This window comes from Homo sapiens, chromosome 16 (assembly GCF_000001405.40).
Source record: "Homo sapiens chromosome 16, GRCh38.p14 Primary Assembly".
NCBI classification, from domain to species: Eukaryota; Metazoa; Chordata; class Mammalia; order Primates; family Hominidae; genus Homo; species Homo sapiens.
Genome location: NC_000016.10, coordinates 2,828,542 through 2,846,127, shown reverse-complemented (window position 1 = coordinate 2,846,127; position 17,586 = coordinate 2,828,542). Strand labels below are relative to the sequence as shown.

Genomic DNA, 17,586 nt, shown 5'->3' with positions numbered 1-17,586 from the left:
ACCCAGGAGGTGGAGGTTGCAGTGAGCCGAGGGTGTGCCACTGCACTCCAGCCTGGGTGACAGAGTGAAACTCCATCTCAAAAAACAAAACAAAGCAAACAAACAAACAAACAAAAGAAAACAAAATGAAAAAGGAATTTCTGGGTTATGATAATGGGTGTGGAGACCAAGGTTTTATCATGCAGATGATGCCTCCAGGTAGCAGGTTTCAGAGAGAATAGACTATAAATGTTTCTTATCAGACTTAAGGTTTGTATTGATGTTAATGCTGGTCCACTTTTATGAATTGCAAAAGGAAGGAGGGTATAATGAGGCATGTCCAGCCCCTCTTCCCATCATGGCCTGAGCTAGTTTTTCAGGTTAACTTTGGAATGCCCTTGGCCCAAAGGAGGGGTCCATTCAGATGGTTGGAGGGCCTTAGTATTTTATTTTTGATTTACAGGAGCAAAATGGAGCTGGGCACACTAGGCCTCCTTTTCACACCACTCAAGGGAGAATTGTCTTTGCAGTCCTTGGGGTTACTTTTTGCTAATGGGCCCAGTTGGGACTATTCCACTTAATAAGAGAAATTCTAATAATATCAAACCTCACTAAACTCTACTTTTGTGACTGGTTTCCTAACTGTAGCTTATTCAGCTACTTAATGCTTTATTTACTATTCGGTTTTACTCCCATTTCTTGTTTTTCTCCTGTTGGTGGATTTTGCATTCCATTCTTTCAGCTGCTTTACATTTCCCACATACGAATTACATCTTTCAAATTCCTGTTCCGCAATGATATGGGCTATAGGAAGTGCTGCAGAGATGTATCTGTGTTGGTATTGTTTGTCGCCTAGCTTGTGTATCATGACACGTAGCCAAGAGACACTTGGTTTAATCTGCATACCAGGAAGTTGTGGCTATTTCACTGAGGACCCCATACAGGCTTAATGACAGTTCCTTTTAGACCTGCTCATTGCCCTATGCAAACTTACTCATGCCATCTCTCAGATTTGCATATCAAGGGGTCTTGAGAAGGTCATTTCAGGCTTAAACCGTCCACCAACAAAATATTCCATCACATCTCCCCACAACAATGGTGCTCACTAGCCTAATGTTAGCAGAAGTAAAAGGGACTGCTCACGAGATTCCAATTAATAAACACCCCTGTCCAGGGACACACATCTCTGCTTGTAAACCTACAGGAAGCTGGCATTATCATAAAGTTGACCTTACTTACCTCACTTCCAGTACAAAATGAACACCTACCAGTTTCAGGTGCATTAATTTATATTTCACCATAACTGGGCGACACAGAGACTGCCTATTTTCACTCTGGATTTTTGAGACCAATTAAATATTTTTTTCTGTATATATCTCTAAAAGATAGGGCCATGAAAAAGACCTACAATATCATTATCAAACTAAACAAAAGTAACAACAATTCATTAACAACATCAAATATAATTAATATTCATATTTCCTATTCCCAGCTCATTTTATGTTTTCCAATGTGTGCGTTTGAATCAGAATATAAATTGTTAAAGGATGATGTGCTAAAAAGATAAAATCATGACTCATACAAATATAAAATTAATACATGTCAATTTTTTACTTTTAGAGAGACAGGGTCTGCTATATTTACCAGGGTGGTTTTGAACTCCTGGCCTCAAAATATCATCCCACCTTCTCAGCCTCCCAAAGTTCTGGGATTACAGACATAAGCCACTGCACCCAGCCTGTGTTTTTATTTAACTCAATTAATGACAGAATCAGTGAGATGTTACAACTGGTTCAAAGGAGAATTCAGAGTAGGAACATATTTAACACATCAGCAATGTTGAAATTAATTTGCTTAAATAGATGTACAAGAACAATCTGCATTCCTATCAGTTATCTACAATTTACAGTCTTAAAATAGCTCAAAGGGAGGGACCCCCACAGAATCAGAAAACCTGGAAGAGTATGAGAGACAACCCCATTGAATTTACTCAGTAATTTTTGTGGGTCCACTTTAAAGTCTTTCACAATTTTCCCTTACAAAATAAACTTTATTCACTGCAGTTGATTGCTATACGTCTTAAGTTTCTTTTATTCTCGAGATGCCCCCTCCATCTCTTTTTTTTCTTTGTCACTGTCCAATAACTGATCATTTGTCCTTTAATCTCACCATCTGGATTTGCTGGTTGTGCCCCCATGCTGTCTCTAACATATTCCTCTGTTTCTGTGTTTCCCTCTGGACTCCCAGTCCAGATTTGTGGACTCTTCAGGCTCTGCCTGTTCTGGGCTCTGTCCCTATGTCCCACACCCCAGATCTGCAGTCTTGGGCAAATTCAGGCACTCCTTGCCTCACCTGGGCGGCTGACTGCAGCAGACTGCGTCTCCATTCCCCTCCCAAGTCTGTGGATCCCAGGCTCTACCATGTTAAAGTCGGAGGGCTGACACTCCGGCCTTGGTGGTTGCGAGGAAGCTACTGGTCCACCCCTCATACCATGGGACCACTACCAGCGAGGATGTTGCCCTGATGCAGCTGAACTCCGCCTTGCAGGCCTCTGATTTTTCCAGAAAAGTCTATCAGGGGGTACACACCAGTTGACTGTCTCGTAGTGATGAGCTAGCTGTTGAGGATTATTCCCTAGACCAATTAGTCCATTAGATTGCAACATGGTGATATTCCTGTTCCATTTATTAGCAGAAATTCCTCCATAAAGAGAAACTTTTCATCATCTATTTATTTTTGTTGCCTCTTTCATTCTATTTTTAAAAATGTTTATGTTTTTGGCATCTATTTAATTATCCTCAAAATAATGAACTATTTCCTTAGCATACTCCAAAAATGATAAAGTTTTTTTTGTAATATGAACTCATGGATTTCTTCTTTTCTTTTTTTTTTTTTGAGATGGAGTCTCGTTCTGTCGCCCAGGCTGGAGTGTAGTGACGCGATCTCGGCTCACTGCAGCCTCTGCTTCTGGGTTAACGCGATTCTCCTGCCTCAGCCTCCTGAGTAGCTGGGATCATAGGTGCCACCACCACGCCCAGCTAATTTTTGTATTTTTAGTATAGATGGGGTTTTGCCATGTTGGCCAGGCTGGTGTCGAACTCCTGACCTCAGGTGATCTGCCCGCATCGGCCTCTCACAGTGCTGGGATCACAGGCGTGAGCCACCGCACCCGGCCTTATCTCACGTATTTAAATCACTCCAAGTTATTGCCCACAGTGATGCTCCAAGTGTCCCATCGTCAGCCAGTGAGAACGTCTTTTGGTTGCCTCCTGAGAGGGACCACTCAGTTTCCAGACCCTCCAGGGCCTGAGGCCAGGCTGAGATGATGCTCACAGGACTCGCATACTGACCGGAACCCCGCCCGATCGCACAGGAAGTCCGCCGGAAACTCTCTTGGAGCCCACCGGAAGTTTAGCGAACCACCCTCAACCTCCGGAAGAGCGCGGGAAGTTTGCCGGAAACGGACAGAAAGGAGTCCCTGCGACCGCGTAGCCTCCTGCAGCGCCCCCTGTTGGCAGAGTCGTAGCGAGGCCGAGATGAGGTCCGTGACGTGGCTGCGTGAGCATCCCGGCTGCCTGTGGATGAGTGGGCGTGGGGCTGAGAGGCGACAACAGTGGGGAGCTTCCTCAGCGATCCTGGGCTTCTCGGGTCAGGCCAACTTCAGTCCGGGCTGGAGGCCGTGCACAACACCAAGCGCATGGTGGGGTCCTCAGCTGCCTCGGGACTGGCTCCGCCTCTGCCCCTGGCCCTGGGATGGGGGCCAAAGGTTTTGGGCAGTGGCAGCAGCAGGAGGAAGTAGCACCTGGAAAACGTGTCTCCTGAGTCGACCCTTCCTGTCTGGGGGGGCCGAACCCTGGCTGTCTTTGTTCCCATAGCAACGAATAGGGCTCCCCTATGTTCCAGCCCCTTAGATACGGTGTGCCCCAGGAGGGCTCTGCAGGAGCTACAGGTCCTTCTGGTGGGAAGGGAGGCGGGAGGTGGGCTGGGGCAGCCCGGCTGGCCTGTGTGGAGACATCACACTTCCTGGTTGGGGACAGGGTGAAGAGGGTTGGTCCCCACCTCTGCCTTGAGCAGAGCTTCTAGTGGGTGAAGCAGTGGGGATCTCCTGCCTGCCGGAAGGATGGGTGGGGCTTCCACATCGCAGCCCAGTAGGGTGGACTGACCGGTCTTCTGACCTCTGGCTCCTTGGAGGGACTGGCCTGAGGTGGGCCCTGGCATCCCCAGCCTCCTCTAAACCACCTCCCTGGAACATGCGGGACAGGAGCCCAAGCGGCATCTGAGGAGGGCGGGTTCTGCCAGGCACAGAGGGCTCCAGCGTGATTGCCACTGGTTAATGACCTGCCACCCCCGCCCCCCCAACCTCTGGTGCCGTCCAAGGACTCTGACCCCAGTGCAGTGTCTGTAGGGAAGAGGAGCCATGGGGCTTCGGGCAGGCCCCATCCTGCTTCTGCTGCTGTGGCTGCTGCCAGGTAAGGGATGCGCCTCTGTCTTCTCCTCCCTCCCATCCCCTGCCAGCCTGTGTGCCCCCCTTTGCTCTCTTGCTTTCCAGGGGCCCATTGGGATGTGCTGCCTTCAGGTACCGTAGACATCTCATCCCTGCACTCAAACAGCCCCTACTCCTGGCCAGGGAGGACTGGCCCCAGGGGACATGCAGAGGCCCTTGGCCCTGGGAGCCTCATCCCTGGACATCAAGGGCAGAGGAATGTCAGAAGGGATGTCAGAAGGGCAGAGGGATGTTAGGGTAAAGAGTCAGACCGGGAGGGATGGGCTTTCTGAGAGGGAATAAAGCTGAGGTCTCCCACCCGCCCATCCCTCTGCAGAATGCGGCCACTCCAAGGAGGCCGGGAGGATTGTGGGAGGCCAAGACACCCAGGAAGGACGCTGGCCGTGGCAGGTTGGCCTGTGGTTGACCTCAGTGGGGCATGTATGTGGGGGCTCCCTCATCCACCCACGCTGGGTGCTCACAGCCGCCCACTGCTTCCTGAGGTGAGTGGCGCTGGGTGGGGGTGCTCCTCACCCCTCCCCTTGGCGGCTGCCTGCAGTGGGCCGTGTTTCCATTCCCCTCCCAGGTCTGAGGATCCCGGGCTCTACCATGTTAAAGTCGGAGGGCTGACACCCTCACTTTCAGAGCCCCACTCGGCCTTGGTGGCTGTGAGGAGGCTCCTGGTCCACTCCTCATACCATGGGACCACCACCAGCGGGGACATTGCCCTGATGGAGCTGGACTCCCCCTTGCAGGCCTCCCAGTTCAGCCCCATCTGCCTCCCAGGACCCCAGACCCCCCTCGCCATTGGGACCGTGTGCTGGGTAAACGGGCTGGGGGTCCACTCAGGAGAGGGGGAAGGGGAATATGCACTCACCAGCCCCTACTCCTAGTCAGGGAGGACAAGCCCAGGGACCACGCAGAGCCAGCCTGAGTGGTCTCCACAGACGTTGGTCTGCGTGTTTATCTCCTCTCCCCTCCCACCCCACCCTGAAGCTGGGAACACTTGGGGCCAGGACCCATGCTGTCCAGACTGTGGGACTCCCCTTGGCCAAGGTGACCACCATATTGGATTTTGGGGATCTTGAGCCAGTGTCCAGGATTGTGCCCGTGTTGGGATGAATAAGCCAAGGCTAAGAGGTCATGAGATTAGCCAGGGTCATGGGAGAGGATCTGGGCTTGAGCCCTGCTCCCTGACCCCACTGCCTCCTGGTTTGGGAGTTGAGAAGAGCAGGGTGGGTGGGCAGAGAAGAGGTAGGAGGTGCAGGCTGCCACCATCACAGGTGAGAGGGCAGAGGCTCACCTGATGGGGACGAGGCTTGAGGTGGGCTCAGGCTGGCCCCCACATCACATCCAGCCCTGGCGAGTGTCCTTCAGGAGGTGGCTGTGCCCCTCCTGGACTCGAACATGTGTGAGCTGATGTACCACCTAGGAGAGCCCAGCCTGGCTGGCCAGCGCCTCATCCAGGACGACATGCTCTGTGCTGGCTCTGTCCAGGGCAAGAAAGACTCCTGCCAGGTGACTGCAGCTCCTGGTCACCCCATCCAGTTGTGTGGGCCCTTTAGGCTCACCCTGTCCTGGACTTTCTCCCCATGTCCCACACCTCAGGGTCTCCAGAGGGACCAGAGTCCTTGCCTAGCTCCTTGGCCTCAGCAGCAGATTCTCGAAGGCACTTGGGGCCCAGGTGTCTCCCTCAATGCAGACCTCATGGGGCCCTCCCTCTCTCTCCCCCAGGGTGACTCCGGGGGGCCGCTGGTCTGCCCCATCAATGATACGTGGATCCAGGCCGGCATTGTGAGCTGGGGATTCGGCTGTGCCCGGCCTTTCCGGCCTGGTGTCTACACCCAGGTGCTAAGCTACACAGACTGGATTCAGAGAACCCTGGCTGAATCTCACTCAGGCATGTCTGGGGCCCGCCCAGGTGCCCCAGGATCCCACTCAGGCACCTCCAGATCCCACCCAGTGCTGCTGCTTGAGCTGTTGACCGTATGCTTGCTTGGGTCCCTGTGAACCATGAGCCATGGAGTCCGGGATCCCCTTTCTGGTAGGATTGATGGAATCTAATAATAAAAACTGTAGGTTTTTTATGTGTATTTTATGTCTTTGCTTTTCTAGTAATTCATTTTTATTGTTCTTTACAAAAACATCTGGCTGTGGTAGGTTGGGAGAGCATGGTGCCTGCCCCGGACATTGTCTGCGGGACACCTTCATCGTTAGGGTCACAGCGTCCAGGCTTGCTCAGGACGGTCTTGGGCGATGTCTGTCCCGTGTAGTTAGATAGGATCCCTGTCCCTCTCAAAAAGTGTCCCAAAAGTGGGAGTAAGAGTTATATAGTCACTGTGACTCAGCCAGTGCAAGAGCTGGAGCTCCTTGAAGCCCACAGATTTTCAGTCTCAGGCATCCTTGTGTGGTTGCCATGGCCACCAGGTGTCCAATAATAGGCCTTGTTCTCCCAGCTCCGGCCCACGGAGTGTCCATACCTTCCCCCACCACCCTGCCCGCTGCTGACTGCAGCCAGTGGGGGCCCTGGGGCCTGTCCCAGGCATGAGCAAGGTCCTTGGGCGCTGTCCCAGGCATGAACAGGGGCTTTGAGGCCGTCGCCAGCGTGGTGGGCAGCGCCCTCTGCCTGTGTCTTAGACGCATGGCCAGAGCAGTGCCTGGTAGCGCCAGCTCCACACTTGCAGGGAGGGATCCATTTGGAAGTTCGCATCTGGTGTCAGTTTCCCTGTGAGACACGGTGGTCGGGCTTTCACTCCAGTTTGGCGCCAGGTCTGGGGGAAGGACCGTCTGCTTGGGTGGGGCGCAGTCGGGCCAGCCTTTGTCCCAGCGCCACTCGCCTGCCCTGGAGGTGGCTGTCAGGAGCACCCCAAGGAGGAGAGGGGCTTTGAGGTCGCAGGTGAGTGGGCAGTGGAGCCGTCACCCTGACGCCTCAGCCCTCCCCGGGGGCACCCTCAGCTGGGTGGCCTCTTAGAAAATTTAGGTTGTTTTGCTGCCCTAGAAGACTGGATGCTCTAGAATCATCTCTCCTTTTGCTGTGGGCCCACCTTCATAGGGTCCTGTTGTCCCGTGACGGCCTCGCCTCCTTCCAACTCCTCTGCCTTCATCCCAGGGTGGACGGTGTCCTGGAGGGACTCATCGGATCCGCCAGGAGCTCAGCGTCCTGGGTAGAGGTTTCTGGCCTCTCAGCTTCTCTGTTTTGTCTCACAACTTTCTCTTGCTAATCACTTTCATGCATCAGTTTGCGAATGGATTCTCCAGCTCTTCACTCATAAATAACTCCTTCCAGAAATCTAGTGAGGAGGGAAAGTGAAGGATTAAAACAAAATCCTCACTTCTGGATTTCTGCTTTAATGTTAGAGTTGGCAGCCCTCCGTCACATAGGCCTGAAGCACCAAGGATGTCTCAGAAGCACTCAGCCTCCCTCCTTGCATATCAGCCCCTTCAGTTTCTCTCTCCTTTTTTCTTTTGTGACAGGGTCTTGCTCTATTGCCCAGGCTGGAGTGCAGTGGCTCAATCTCAGCTCATTGCAGCCTCGACCTCCTGGGCTTAAGCGATCCTCCCACCTCAGCCTACCTGGGAGTACATGTGCACACCACCATGCTCGGCTAATTTTTGTATTTTTAGTAGAGACAGGGTTTCACCATGTTGCCCAGGCTGGTCTTGAACTTCTGACCTCAAGTGATCCGCCTGCCCCAGCCTCCCAAAGTGCTGGGATGACAGGCGTGAGCCACCGTGCCCAAGGACCCCCCCCAGTCTCTTCCCCAGATGACCTTGACCAGGGCTGCTGTGCCATCAGCCCTGTGCCAGGATCCACTCCCATCCAGGAGGCCCCTGTCCAGGCTGTGTGCCTGTCTGTGTGTGGATGTGTCTGTGTGTGGGTGTGTATTTATGTGTGTTTGTGTGTGCCTGTGTGTGGATGGGTGTGGGTGTACTTTTATGTGCATGTGTGTGTGTGTGTACATACGTGTTTGTGTATTTGTGTATGTGTCTGCGTCTCTGTATGTGTCTCTGTGGGGTAGGTGTGTGTATGTGTATGTGTCTGTGTGTGTGGGTGTGTGTGTCTGTGGGTATTTGTGTGTCTGTGTATGGGTGTGTATTTGCATGTATGTATGTGTGTGTGTGTTTCTGTGGTGTGTGTTTGTGAGTGTGTCTCTGGGTGGGTGTGTATTTCTGTGTGTCTGTGTCTCTGTGTGGGTATTTGCATGGGGGGCTGGGTGTATATTTGCGTGCATGTGAATGGGTGTGTGGGTGTGTGTGTGTGTCTGGGTGTGTGGGGAGGTGGGTGTGTATTTGTGTGTGTATGTATGTATGGGTATGTGTGTGTGCGTGTCTCTGTGGATGGGTGTGTATTTGTGTGGGGGTGGGTGTGTATTTGCGTGTATGTGAATGGGTATTTGTGTGTGTGTCTCTGTGTGGATGGGTGTGTATTTGTGTGTGTGTGTCAGTGGGTGTGTATTTGTGTGTCTCTGTGTGGGTGGGTATTTTTGTGTGTGTGTAGGTATTTGTGTATGTGCTTGTCTGTGTATGTGTGTATGGGTGTGTATTTGTGTGTGTCTCTGGGTGGGTGTGTATTTGTGTGTATGTGTATATGGGTGTGTATTTGTGTGCGTGTGTGTCTGCATGTGTATTTTGTGTGTATGTTTGAATGGGTGTGTATTTGTGTGTGTGTGTGTCTGTGTGGTCCTCAGAACCCCCCACATTTCCTGGCAGTGGACAGCACGAACGCTCCTTGACCCCCACGGGCAGGGGAAGCCTGCTGAGCCTCTTTTCTCTCCGAGGCATCCGACTTCTGCCAACGGTGAGTTAGAAGGAAGGGGCCTCAGCCAACAGCAAAAGCTACAGAAGGATTTTCCGCGCCTGACCTGGACTGTGGTGCGCACACAGCCCTCTTTGTCTTCTCTTTCTCTGGCCCCTCACACAGGTGCTGTTTGTAGAGGACTTACAAGACTGGTGCTTCTGCTTGTGAAGCCCCTCCTGCCTGGGGCTTGTTGGAAAGACACAGAGGGTTCACCTGGTGCCTGGGCCGGGGGGTGGGTGCGGGTCCGAGGGGGCGGTAGGGGCAGACGTGAGTCCAGGTGACATTCAAGGTGCTCCACTTCCTCCAGCAGCTCCTCTTAGGTTCCAGCTGCCTGGCCCACTCTAAGTGCACGGCAACCAGCACCAGGTGTCTCTCAGTGGGACCCCCAGTTTGCTGGTTGGCCTGTCTGTGGGCCCAGTGGCCTGCAGGAGGCCTTGGGACTAGTGACACTGTTTAGAGACAGGTCGGGGCGGGAGCTGCACAGTTCAGTGTTGTGTAGGAGGAAACAATTCAAACGCCCCTGCAAGACTGAGCCGGTCTGGGGATGAGGAAGTGGCCACAATGGACGCAGGTGTTCCAGAAGGCTGACAGGCTGACTTCTGTCCAAAGGCCAGAGCCGCTCGGGATTGGGGAACGTTTGGCCAAGGGTGACAAGCAGGAGCAGAGGCAGGGACCCAGCGTAGGACGAGCGGTTCCTTCCTCACCCTGGAGCCCAGGGTGCAGGTCTGGCACGCACCTTGTCTCTGAACTTGTAGTGAGTCGATGCCTTGTCTCTGAACTTGCAGTGAGTCGATGAAAAGGAATTCTCAGGATTACAGCAGGCTCTGCCAGCGGCACTGTATGCATGTGGACCTCAGAATTCCAGGACAAGAAAATCACATGTTGTGGTGGCTGAAGTATTTGGGCACTTGGGACGCAGGGACTCTCAGGAAAGAACCTCCCCCGACAATGGTGGGACTGGGCCAACACCTGAGCAGGAAGTGGCAGGAGGACTGTGGGATTGCGGTTGGAATTCCATGACTCACTCGCTCAGCCTGGGCTTCCTTGTCTTTAAAAATGTGAGATTAACACCCACCGCAAGGGTGTTTGTGATGATTAAATGAGGCAGTCCTTGTGTAAGCACTCACCATTGCGCCTGGTCCAAAATTGGATCGTGATGAATGCTAGTGTCTTTTCTTTCCTTTCCTTTTCTTTTTTTTCTTTTCCTTTCTTTCTTTTTCTTTTTTCTTTTTCTGAGACAAGGTTTCACTCCTGTTTCTTAGGCTGGAGTGCAATGGCGCGACCTCAGCTCACTGCAGTCTCTACCTCCTGGGCTCAAGTGATTCTCCTGTTTTAACCTCCCAAGTAGCTGGGACTACAGGCCCACGCCACCACGCCTGGTTATGTATTTTTGTAGATTGTAGAGGCAGGGTCTCGCTGTGTTGCTTTGGCTGGTCTTGAACTCCTGGGCTCAAGTGATCATCCGTCTCGACCTCCCAAAGTGCTGGGATTACAGGTGTAAGCCACTGTGCCTGGTCCCGCTAGTGTGTTTTCTGTCCATCTATCCCCTCACCCACCCACCCACTTATCCATCCATCCACTCACCCATTTGTACATCCATCCACCCGCCCACCCATCTACTGACTCATAAATTCATCCATCCATTCATGCATCTACCCACTCACCCACCCACCTACCCACCTACCCATTCACCCACCCATCCATCCAGCCATCCACCTATCCATCCATTATTCCACCCATTCACCCACCCACCTACCCATCTACCGACCTATCCATCCATTTACTGACTCACCCATCCATTCATCCACCCATCCATCCACCCACCCATCAACCCATCCATCCATCCATTCATCCACCCACCCACCCACCCACCCATCCATCCATCCATCCATCCATCCATCCATCCACTCATCCCAGAACACAGACGATCCAAATCACAGGAGACTTACTAGCACTCTAGTAATATTGGCACACATACTCAAAACACATTCAGCAGAAACTGGATTCCACCAGCAGTGCTTGGGACTCAGCTCTTTTCTATTTTCTTTTCTTTTCTTTCTTTCTCTCTTTAGACAGAGTCTTACTCTGTCACCCAGGCTGGAGAGCAGTAGTGCAATCTTGGCTCACTGGAACCCTCCACGTCTCATGTTCAAGCGATTCTGCTGCCTCAGACTCCTGAGTATCTGGGATTATAGGCGCACGCCACCATGCCCGGATAATTTTTGGATTTTTAGTAGAGACTGGGTTTCACCATGGTGGCCAGGCTGGGCCTGGAACTACTGACCTCATGAACTGACCGGCTTGGCCTCCCAAAGTACTGGGATTACAGGCGTGAGCCACTGTGCCCGGGCCAAAATGTTTTCTTAAATGTGTTCTGTGCCTGGGCTTGGATTATCAACACGTTGAATGGCAAGTCTGATCACCATAATTTTGAAGTGGTGACGGCTGTAAATTTCAAGGTGTCTGTGACAACAGTATTTGATGTGGTCATTTCATGGGTGTTGCATGTGAGGTCACATTCATACCCGAAGGAAACATGAAATTTTCAGTCAAGGGCAATAAAAAAAAAAGAGGTAATTTCCCCCCCCCCATCCCAGTTCATGGATTCTCTGAATTTTGATTTCTGATTTTTGTCCACAGACCCCAGGTTAAGAAGTGGCTCTCAACCAGCATTTAAAATTAAATAAAAATAAAAGTAGAGAAGAGAAAAAACGTCTGTGTGTATTTCATGCAGAAAGATGAAACTGGGTTGGGAAATCTTTGCCTAGGTCTGGTGTTCAGTGGCCAGACTTTGCAGCTTGGTCACCTCAAGGTGGACCTCCAACTCTACCTCTAACGGCTGCGTGGGACAAGTCACTTTGCTCTCAGTTCCTCTGTTTCCTCATTTTGCAAATGAGGATAATTGAAGTCCTGTCCTTCAATTGTTGTGGGTGGGGACTTTGGGTGGAGCCCCTGAAATAGGACCTGGCCCTTCCCGTGATCACTGACTGGCTGTTGCATTAGATGATCACTGGGCGTTTGGCTGTTGCATTAGATGATCGCTGGGTGTTTGGCTGTTGCATTAGATGATCGCTGGGTGTTTGGCTGTTGCATTAGATGATCGCTGGGTGTTTGGCTGTTGCATTAGATGATCGCTGGGTGTTTGGCTGTTGCATTAGATGATCGCTGGGTGTTTGGCTGTTGCATTAGATGATCGCTGGGTGTTTGGCTGTTGCCTTAGATAATCACTTGTCTGTTTGGCTGTTGCATTAGATGATCACTGGGTGTTTGGCTGTTGCATTAGATGATCACTGGGTGTTTGGCTGTTGCATTAGATGATCACTTGTCTGTTTGGCTGTTGCATTAGATGATCACTTGTCTGTTTGGCTGTTGCATTAGATGATCACTGGGTGTTTGGCTGTTGCATTAGATGATCACTTGTCTGTTTGGCTGTTGCATTAGATGATCACTTGTCTGTTTGGCTGTTGCATTAGATGATCACTGGGTGTTTGGCTGTTGCATTAGATGATCACTGGGTGTTTGGCTGTTGCATTAGATGATCGCTGGGTGTTTGGCTGTTGCATTAGATGATCGCTGGGTGTTTGGCTGTTGCATTAGATGATCACTGGGTGTTTGGCTGTTGCATTAGATGATCGCTGGGTGTTTGGCTGTTGCATTAGATGATCGTTGGGTGCTTGGCTGTTGCATTACATGTGTTGCTTCCTGTGTCTCAAGTAGGATCAATTTCTCTCTGTGGATCATGGTCCCAAAGGACTGAAAACCCCGTCCCTGGAGGCCCCTGGAGCTCTGATCTTGGCAAGTGCCCATGTGGGCTTGGAGGCTTGGGAAGGGGACATGAAGAATGGGCCAGGTCCAGGGCTTGTACTGATTTCCTGTTGCTACTGTGACAAATTACCCCAGCCATCTGCATCTCCTGTCTTTGCTCATGTTGAGCCCTCAACCTGTAATCCCCTCCTCCCTTTGTCTCCACTTGGCCAATTGTCCTTCATCCTTTAAGACTTAGCTCAGACATTGCCTCCTCTAGGAAGACTTCCCTGAAGCACATCCCTCTCACCTCACCTCTGGGCAGGTGCCTACGCACAATGACCTGCATGTGTCCCCATCCATGCAGATGGCAAAGTGAACTGCCACTATCTGCCTCTGCACCAGCCCCCACCACAGTGTATACGCACTCAGCTGAAACCTGGCCTCTTCTTTATACCCCCAGTGCCAGGCGAGCCTGGTGAGGACACGGCCTTGGCAAATGTTTGCTGAGTGAATGGATGAGTGAGTGGCTTCCCTGAGGCCCCTTGAGCACTCAGAGAATCCCGGGACTGAGTGGCCAGCAGAGGCCCGCTGGGTGGGCCTGGGGTGAGGGACAGTGGGGAGTGGCGGCCTTGAAGCCTGACTCTTCAAAGATTGTGGGACTGGCACAGAGATCCACAGCACCTCTGAGGGGGTGGTGCTGCTCTCTTTCTGTCCTCGGCAGAGTCACCTTTGCCCTACCCCTCATCTCAGTTCACTGGGCTGCAGCACTGGGGACTTTGTCTCCAAGGAGCAGGGAAGGCTTTGGTTGTACCCCAGATCCAAGGACCAATCCTGGATGCACTGATTCTGCAGAACCTTTATTTATTGGTGGATTCAGATTCAGCGTCCCGACTCAGTTACTCCAGTACCATCAGCCACCACCACCCAGATGGCCTCAGCTCGGATGGCCCCATACCCCACCCTAGCGACCCACGGGTGAGTTTGCTGAGTATGTGAGATTAACTGGTGGCTCAGTGGTCGGCTCCTCTAGTGGATAATTCCATTCAAAGCCAATGCTCTTGATGCCAAGGAGTTGATACTGGCCATAGATGCCCACCAGCACCTGCCCCTCTTGGCTGGGGTAGGCAGAGGAGATCTGGCCATCAAGCTTCCCAAAATAGAAATAGCGGTCCTTGCTGGTGTACATGACCATACCCCGGAGGAAAGCTTGGAAGGCGACAAAGACTTTTGTGATGTATTCGCCTGGCTGCAGGGTGACTTCCTGGGTATTCCCACCTAAGGCTCCCAGTTTCACGTCCCAGGAGTCTCCAAGTTTCACCTGGACACTGGGAGAGAGGCAAAGCTTTGGACGTCCAGATCTGGGATGGCCCAGCACATCCCGGGTCCTCAGCGCCCCCATCCTCCTTCCCGGGATGCAGAGAGTCCAGCACCATCAGACTTTGGGTCCCTGACACAGACTCACTGGTCACCAACCCTGATTCTACCACTTTTGGGCCCTGTGATCTTGAGCTCGTTACCCAGCCTCTCCGGACTCAGTTTCCCCGTCTGCAAAGTGGGTGTGACTTTTGGGAGGAGTCACTGAGATCCTGGTGAGGAGAGCTGCGTGCAGCGCCAGGTCTCCGTGACCCAGAAGGCACCAGCTGCCGTCACTGTGGCCCACATATGAGCTGCCTCTGGCCGAGCCTGGACCTCCCGAGCCTTAGTCACTCCAAGCAGAGCAGCTCACAGGCCGAGGGGCAGGTGACTTCCCACACTCGCCAGCGCTTCCCTGACGGGGCTCATCTTCACCCCTCCCTCACCCTGGTGCTCTCCCAGGATGCACCCCTCCGGCTCGCCCCGCCCACACTCTGTCTCCTCTGCTATTGGGCTTCTCTCCCCTCTCCCAGGACCCCAGAACTTCTAAATGCAGGGCAAAAATCCATCCCAGACCTCCAGCAGAGACACTTCGATATTAAGGAAATGGCCCTGGACTTCTGCCTCTAACACTTCTGCGACTCATATTCAGTCAGTGGTCCACTCTGACCCTTACCTCCTGTCTTCTTTGACAGTAATCGGACAGACTTTCCCCTGACTTTCCTATCAGGCATGGGGACAGAGGGGCCATTTTTGGTTGAGTTGAGCTTGGGTTGAAGGGAGAAGGTAGGGAGGACGGTCTGACCGTCTCCGCTCCAGCCAGGAAGCATCAGCGGGAGCCAGGAAGCATCGACAGTAGCCAGGCATGTGTGGCAAAAGTGGCCACGGGTGCTTACCCCCTGCCCTGAGTTCCTGAAACTGTGGGATGGGAGGGGACATGGCGCTGGGCCCATGACCATAGCCCTACTCACCTTTTCACCAGGAGAAGACCTACAGACACCCGCAGCCCTGTGATTTCATGGTCGTAGTCTTCAGTGGTGCTGAAATACTTGCCTCCTCCAGGGCCATACATCTCTGAAGAAAAGAGAGACCCAAAGGGAAGAAAATCCCCATGCGGTGATATGGGGGTGACCTCTGCCAGAACAGGGGACCCCACCCCTCCAGGCAGACAGGATGGTTCTGTGACCAGAGTTAGTCTGGGACAAGGGCCGGGTGAGTCCCTGGCTCTCCTGGAGGGAGGCAGGGGAGATTGAGGGCAGACCCCACTGACTTACTCCCTGCCCAGGTGGGGCCCCCCAGGAGGGCAAGCGTGAGCAGCAGCAGCATGGCCTCTGGCCGGTGCATCCCAGGGCTCTGTGGGAAGAAGAGAGGCCTCCTGACTCCAAAGCAAGGGCCAGTGTGACCTTGCCGGGCCCCACCCATGGAGCCAAGCACCTTACCTCGCCTGTGACTGGGCGTCTGGTTGTGCCGGGCACCCTCCACATCGCCTTTATACTCTCCTGGGCCCCCTGGGCCCCCATCCAGAAGGAAGAAGCGAGGGGCCGCCAGGGGAACAGGAAGGAGCTGGCCGTGGGGCTCTTCCTGGGGGAAGGCCCAGGGCCGGCCTTGGGGAGGCTCCCGGATGTGCAGTATTTGCTGTCTTGGCTCTGCAGCCTACATAAACGAAGCTGAGAACAGTGACAGGCATTTCACAGTTATCTCTGGGATCTCTCCAGTCAGCACTGGCACCGACTTGAATGGCAGAGGTGGGGAGAGGCTGGCTTATCCAGCGCAGCCTGATGGCTTCCACCTGAGGGTGGCGGGTCAAGGGTCCACAGAAGCTCCGTGGGGCCCACTCCTGCCGTGGGCGACCTGGAGTCAGGGCCTCCTTCGGACTCAGGCAGCACCTGGTGCCTGGCAGCCTTCCTGGGACCCAGGCCGAGCTCGACGCGGGCCCTGAGAGAGCCTGAATGGATCACCCAGCCCTTTGTGTCCTGTGCCCTGTGCGGCAGGTGCACCAGGCACTGGCCCTCAAGGCACTGCCCTTAGAGGCTGCCCGGGTCTCTCCTCTGTGCTGTATCTGGGTGGAGCAGGTATGAGCCAGTGTTCAGGGACTCAGAGGCCATGGGAGGGAAGGACACCAAAGGTGCAGTCCATGCCACGATGGGAGGCAGAGGGCCTGGGGAGGGCGACCCCCCAGGCCGGTCCTTCCGAGGTGTCGGCCCTCATCTGGGCGGGAACTGGCGCTTCTCCAGGGCTCGGTCCCCGGGGCCCTGCTGGTTTTCTGTCTCACTCCTTTCCCCCTCAGCCCCTCTTGTCAGGGAGGCCTGTGCAGGCGGATGCCTGTGGGCAGAACGCCATCACCCTCAGACGCCAGCTGAGAAAAGCTCGTGTTCGGAGATGTCTCATCCCAAGGACCCTGAAGGACCCAGGGCACTGGGAAGGAACTGGAGTCTGCAGAAGAGTTGGGGTGTCGGATAAGGATCAGGGGAGAAGAGATAAAGGCCGTCAGATGCCCAAGCGAGGCGGGAACTAGGGGACAGATTGCAGCTCAAGCGCAGTTCCATGCGTGTCCTCAGGACACCTCTTGTGTGTGTTCCAGGGACTGAAGCTCCTCAGGGCCTGTGACCGCTGGGAACAGCCACAGGGCTGTGATCACCAACACAGGACCCTGGAGCCAGACGTGGGTCCAGCCGGGCTTCCTGACGTAGCGGGGCTGGGATCTGCGGGCTCTTGCTTCACCTCTCTGGGCCTCTGTTCTGCGGATAACAACAGAACCTCCCCCTGAGGGTGCTGTGAGGGCCTCCCTGGAGGGGAGGCCCCCAGGGCTGGTTGCCCTGAGCCTTAGACTTTATGCCTTGGGGGAGAGTGTACAACGCTAATTTTTGGAAAGAGCAAAAGCTGAGAAATCACGGGCGCATCCACCTGGAGATGCCGAGAGCCCGGGTGGTGGATCCCTGGCTGTGGAAAACTTGGGTGGAGAGGGTGGGGGACACTCCCACTGCACACCCATCCCCCAGGGAAACAGGCTGGAAGACCAGTGTGTGTGGACCCCACATGCTTCCCAGGAAGATGGGTGCAAAGAAGGGCTTTGTGCATGCACAGACTGGCTCTGGAAGTGCTGGCTCACCAGGAACGGGGACGCCGGTCTCATCGGGATGAGGGTGGGCAGGGGCTGCGGGAGGAGCAGGACTTTCACGACTTGAACCAGGTGCCTGCGCCAGGGGTGGCGAACTATGGCCCAGCC

At 53.7% G+C, this 17,586-nt stretch overlaps 1 protein-coding gene, 1 long non-coding RNA gene and 1 pseudogene across 3 annotated transcripts, besides 2 other annotated features; 1 reads left to right on the top strand and 2 right to left on the bottom strand.

Annotated features, from left to right (window-relative positions):
* Positions 3,081-3,770: an enhancer, noted in NCBI's record as "H3K4me1 hESC enhancer chr16:2892359-2893048 (GRCh37/hg19 assembly coordinates)". NCBI's record gives its function as "activates a minimal SCP1, AML or CMV promoter by ChIP-STARR-seq in naive H9 embryonic stem cells {active_cell/tissue: H9 hESC(naive)}" and the evidence as "EXISTENCE:reporter gene assay evidence [ECO:0000049][PMID:30033119]".
* Positions 3,377-6,555, top strand: PRSS30P (serine protease 30, pseudogene; annotated as a pseudogene). The gene is made up of 2 exons (NR_026864.2): positions 3,377-5,980; positions 6,197-6,555. The product of NR_026864.2 is annotated as a serine protease 30, pseudogene (transcript).
* LOC124903628 (uncharacterized) lies at positions 6,552-10,210 on the bottom strand. The gene is made up of 2 exons (XR_007064946.1): positions 9,406-10,210; positions 6,552-7,752 (listed from the first exon to the last, which is right to left on the bottom strand). It is a non-coding gene; the product is annotated as an uncharacterized LOC124903628 (long non-coding RNA).
* Positions 9,296-10,495: an enhancer, noted in NCBI's record as "P300/CBP strongly-dependent group 1 enhancer chr16:2885634-2886833 (GRCh37/hg19 assembly coordinates)". NCBI's record gives its function as "activates an origin of replication core promoter dependent on BRD2, BRD4, P300/CBP, MED14 and CDK7 cofactors, with strong dependence on P300/CBP, by STARR-seq in HCT116 cells {active_cell/tissue: HCT116}" and the evidence as "EXISTENCE:reporter gene assay evidence [ECO:0000049][PMID:35650434]".
* On the bottom strand, positions 13,852-15,825 carry ZG16B (zymogen granule protein 16B). Its single transcript, NM_145252.3, has 4 exons — positions 15,800-15,825; positions 15,635-15,713; positions 15,332-15,434; positions 13,852-14,332 (listed from the first exon to the last, which is right to left on the bottom strand). The coding sequence occupies exons 2-4, from the start codon at positions 15,684-15,686 to the stop codon at positions 13,969-13,971; spliced, it is 519 nt and encodes a 172-aa protein (NP_660295.3). The 5' UTR covers positions 15,687-15,713; positions 15,800-15,825; the 3' UTR covers positions 13,852-13,968.
* Positions 15,826-17,586: the final 1,761 nt, after the last annotated feature.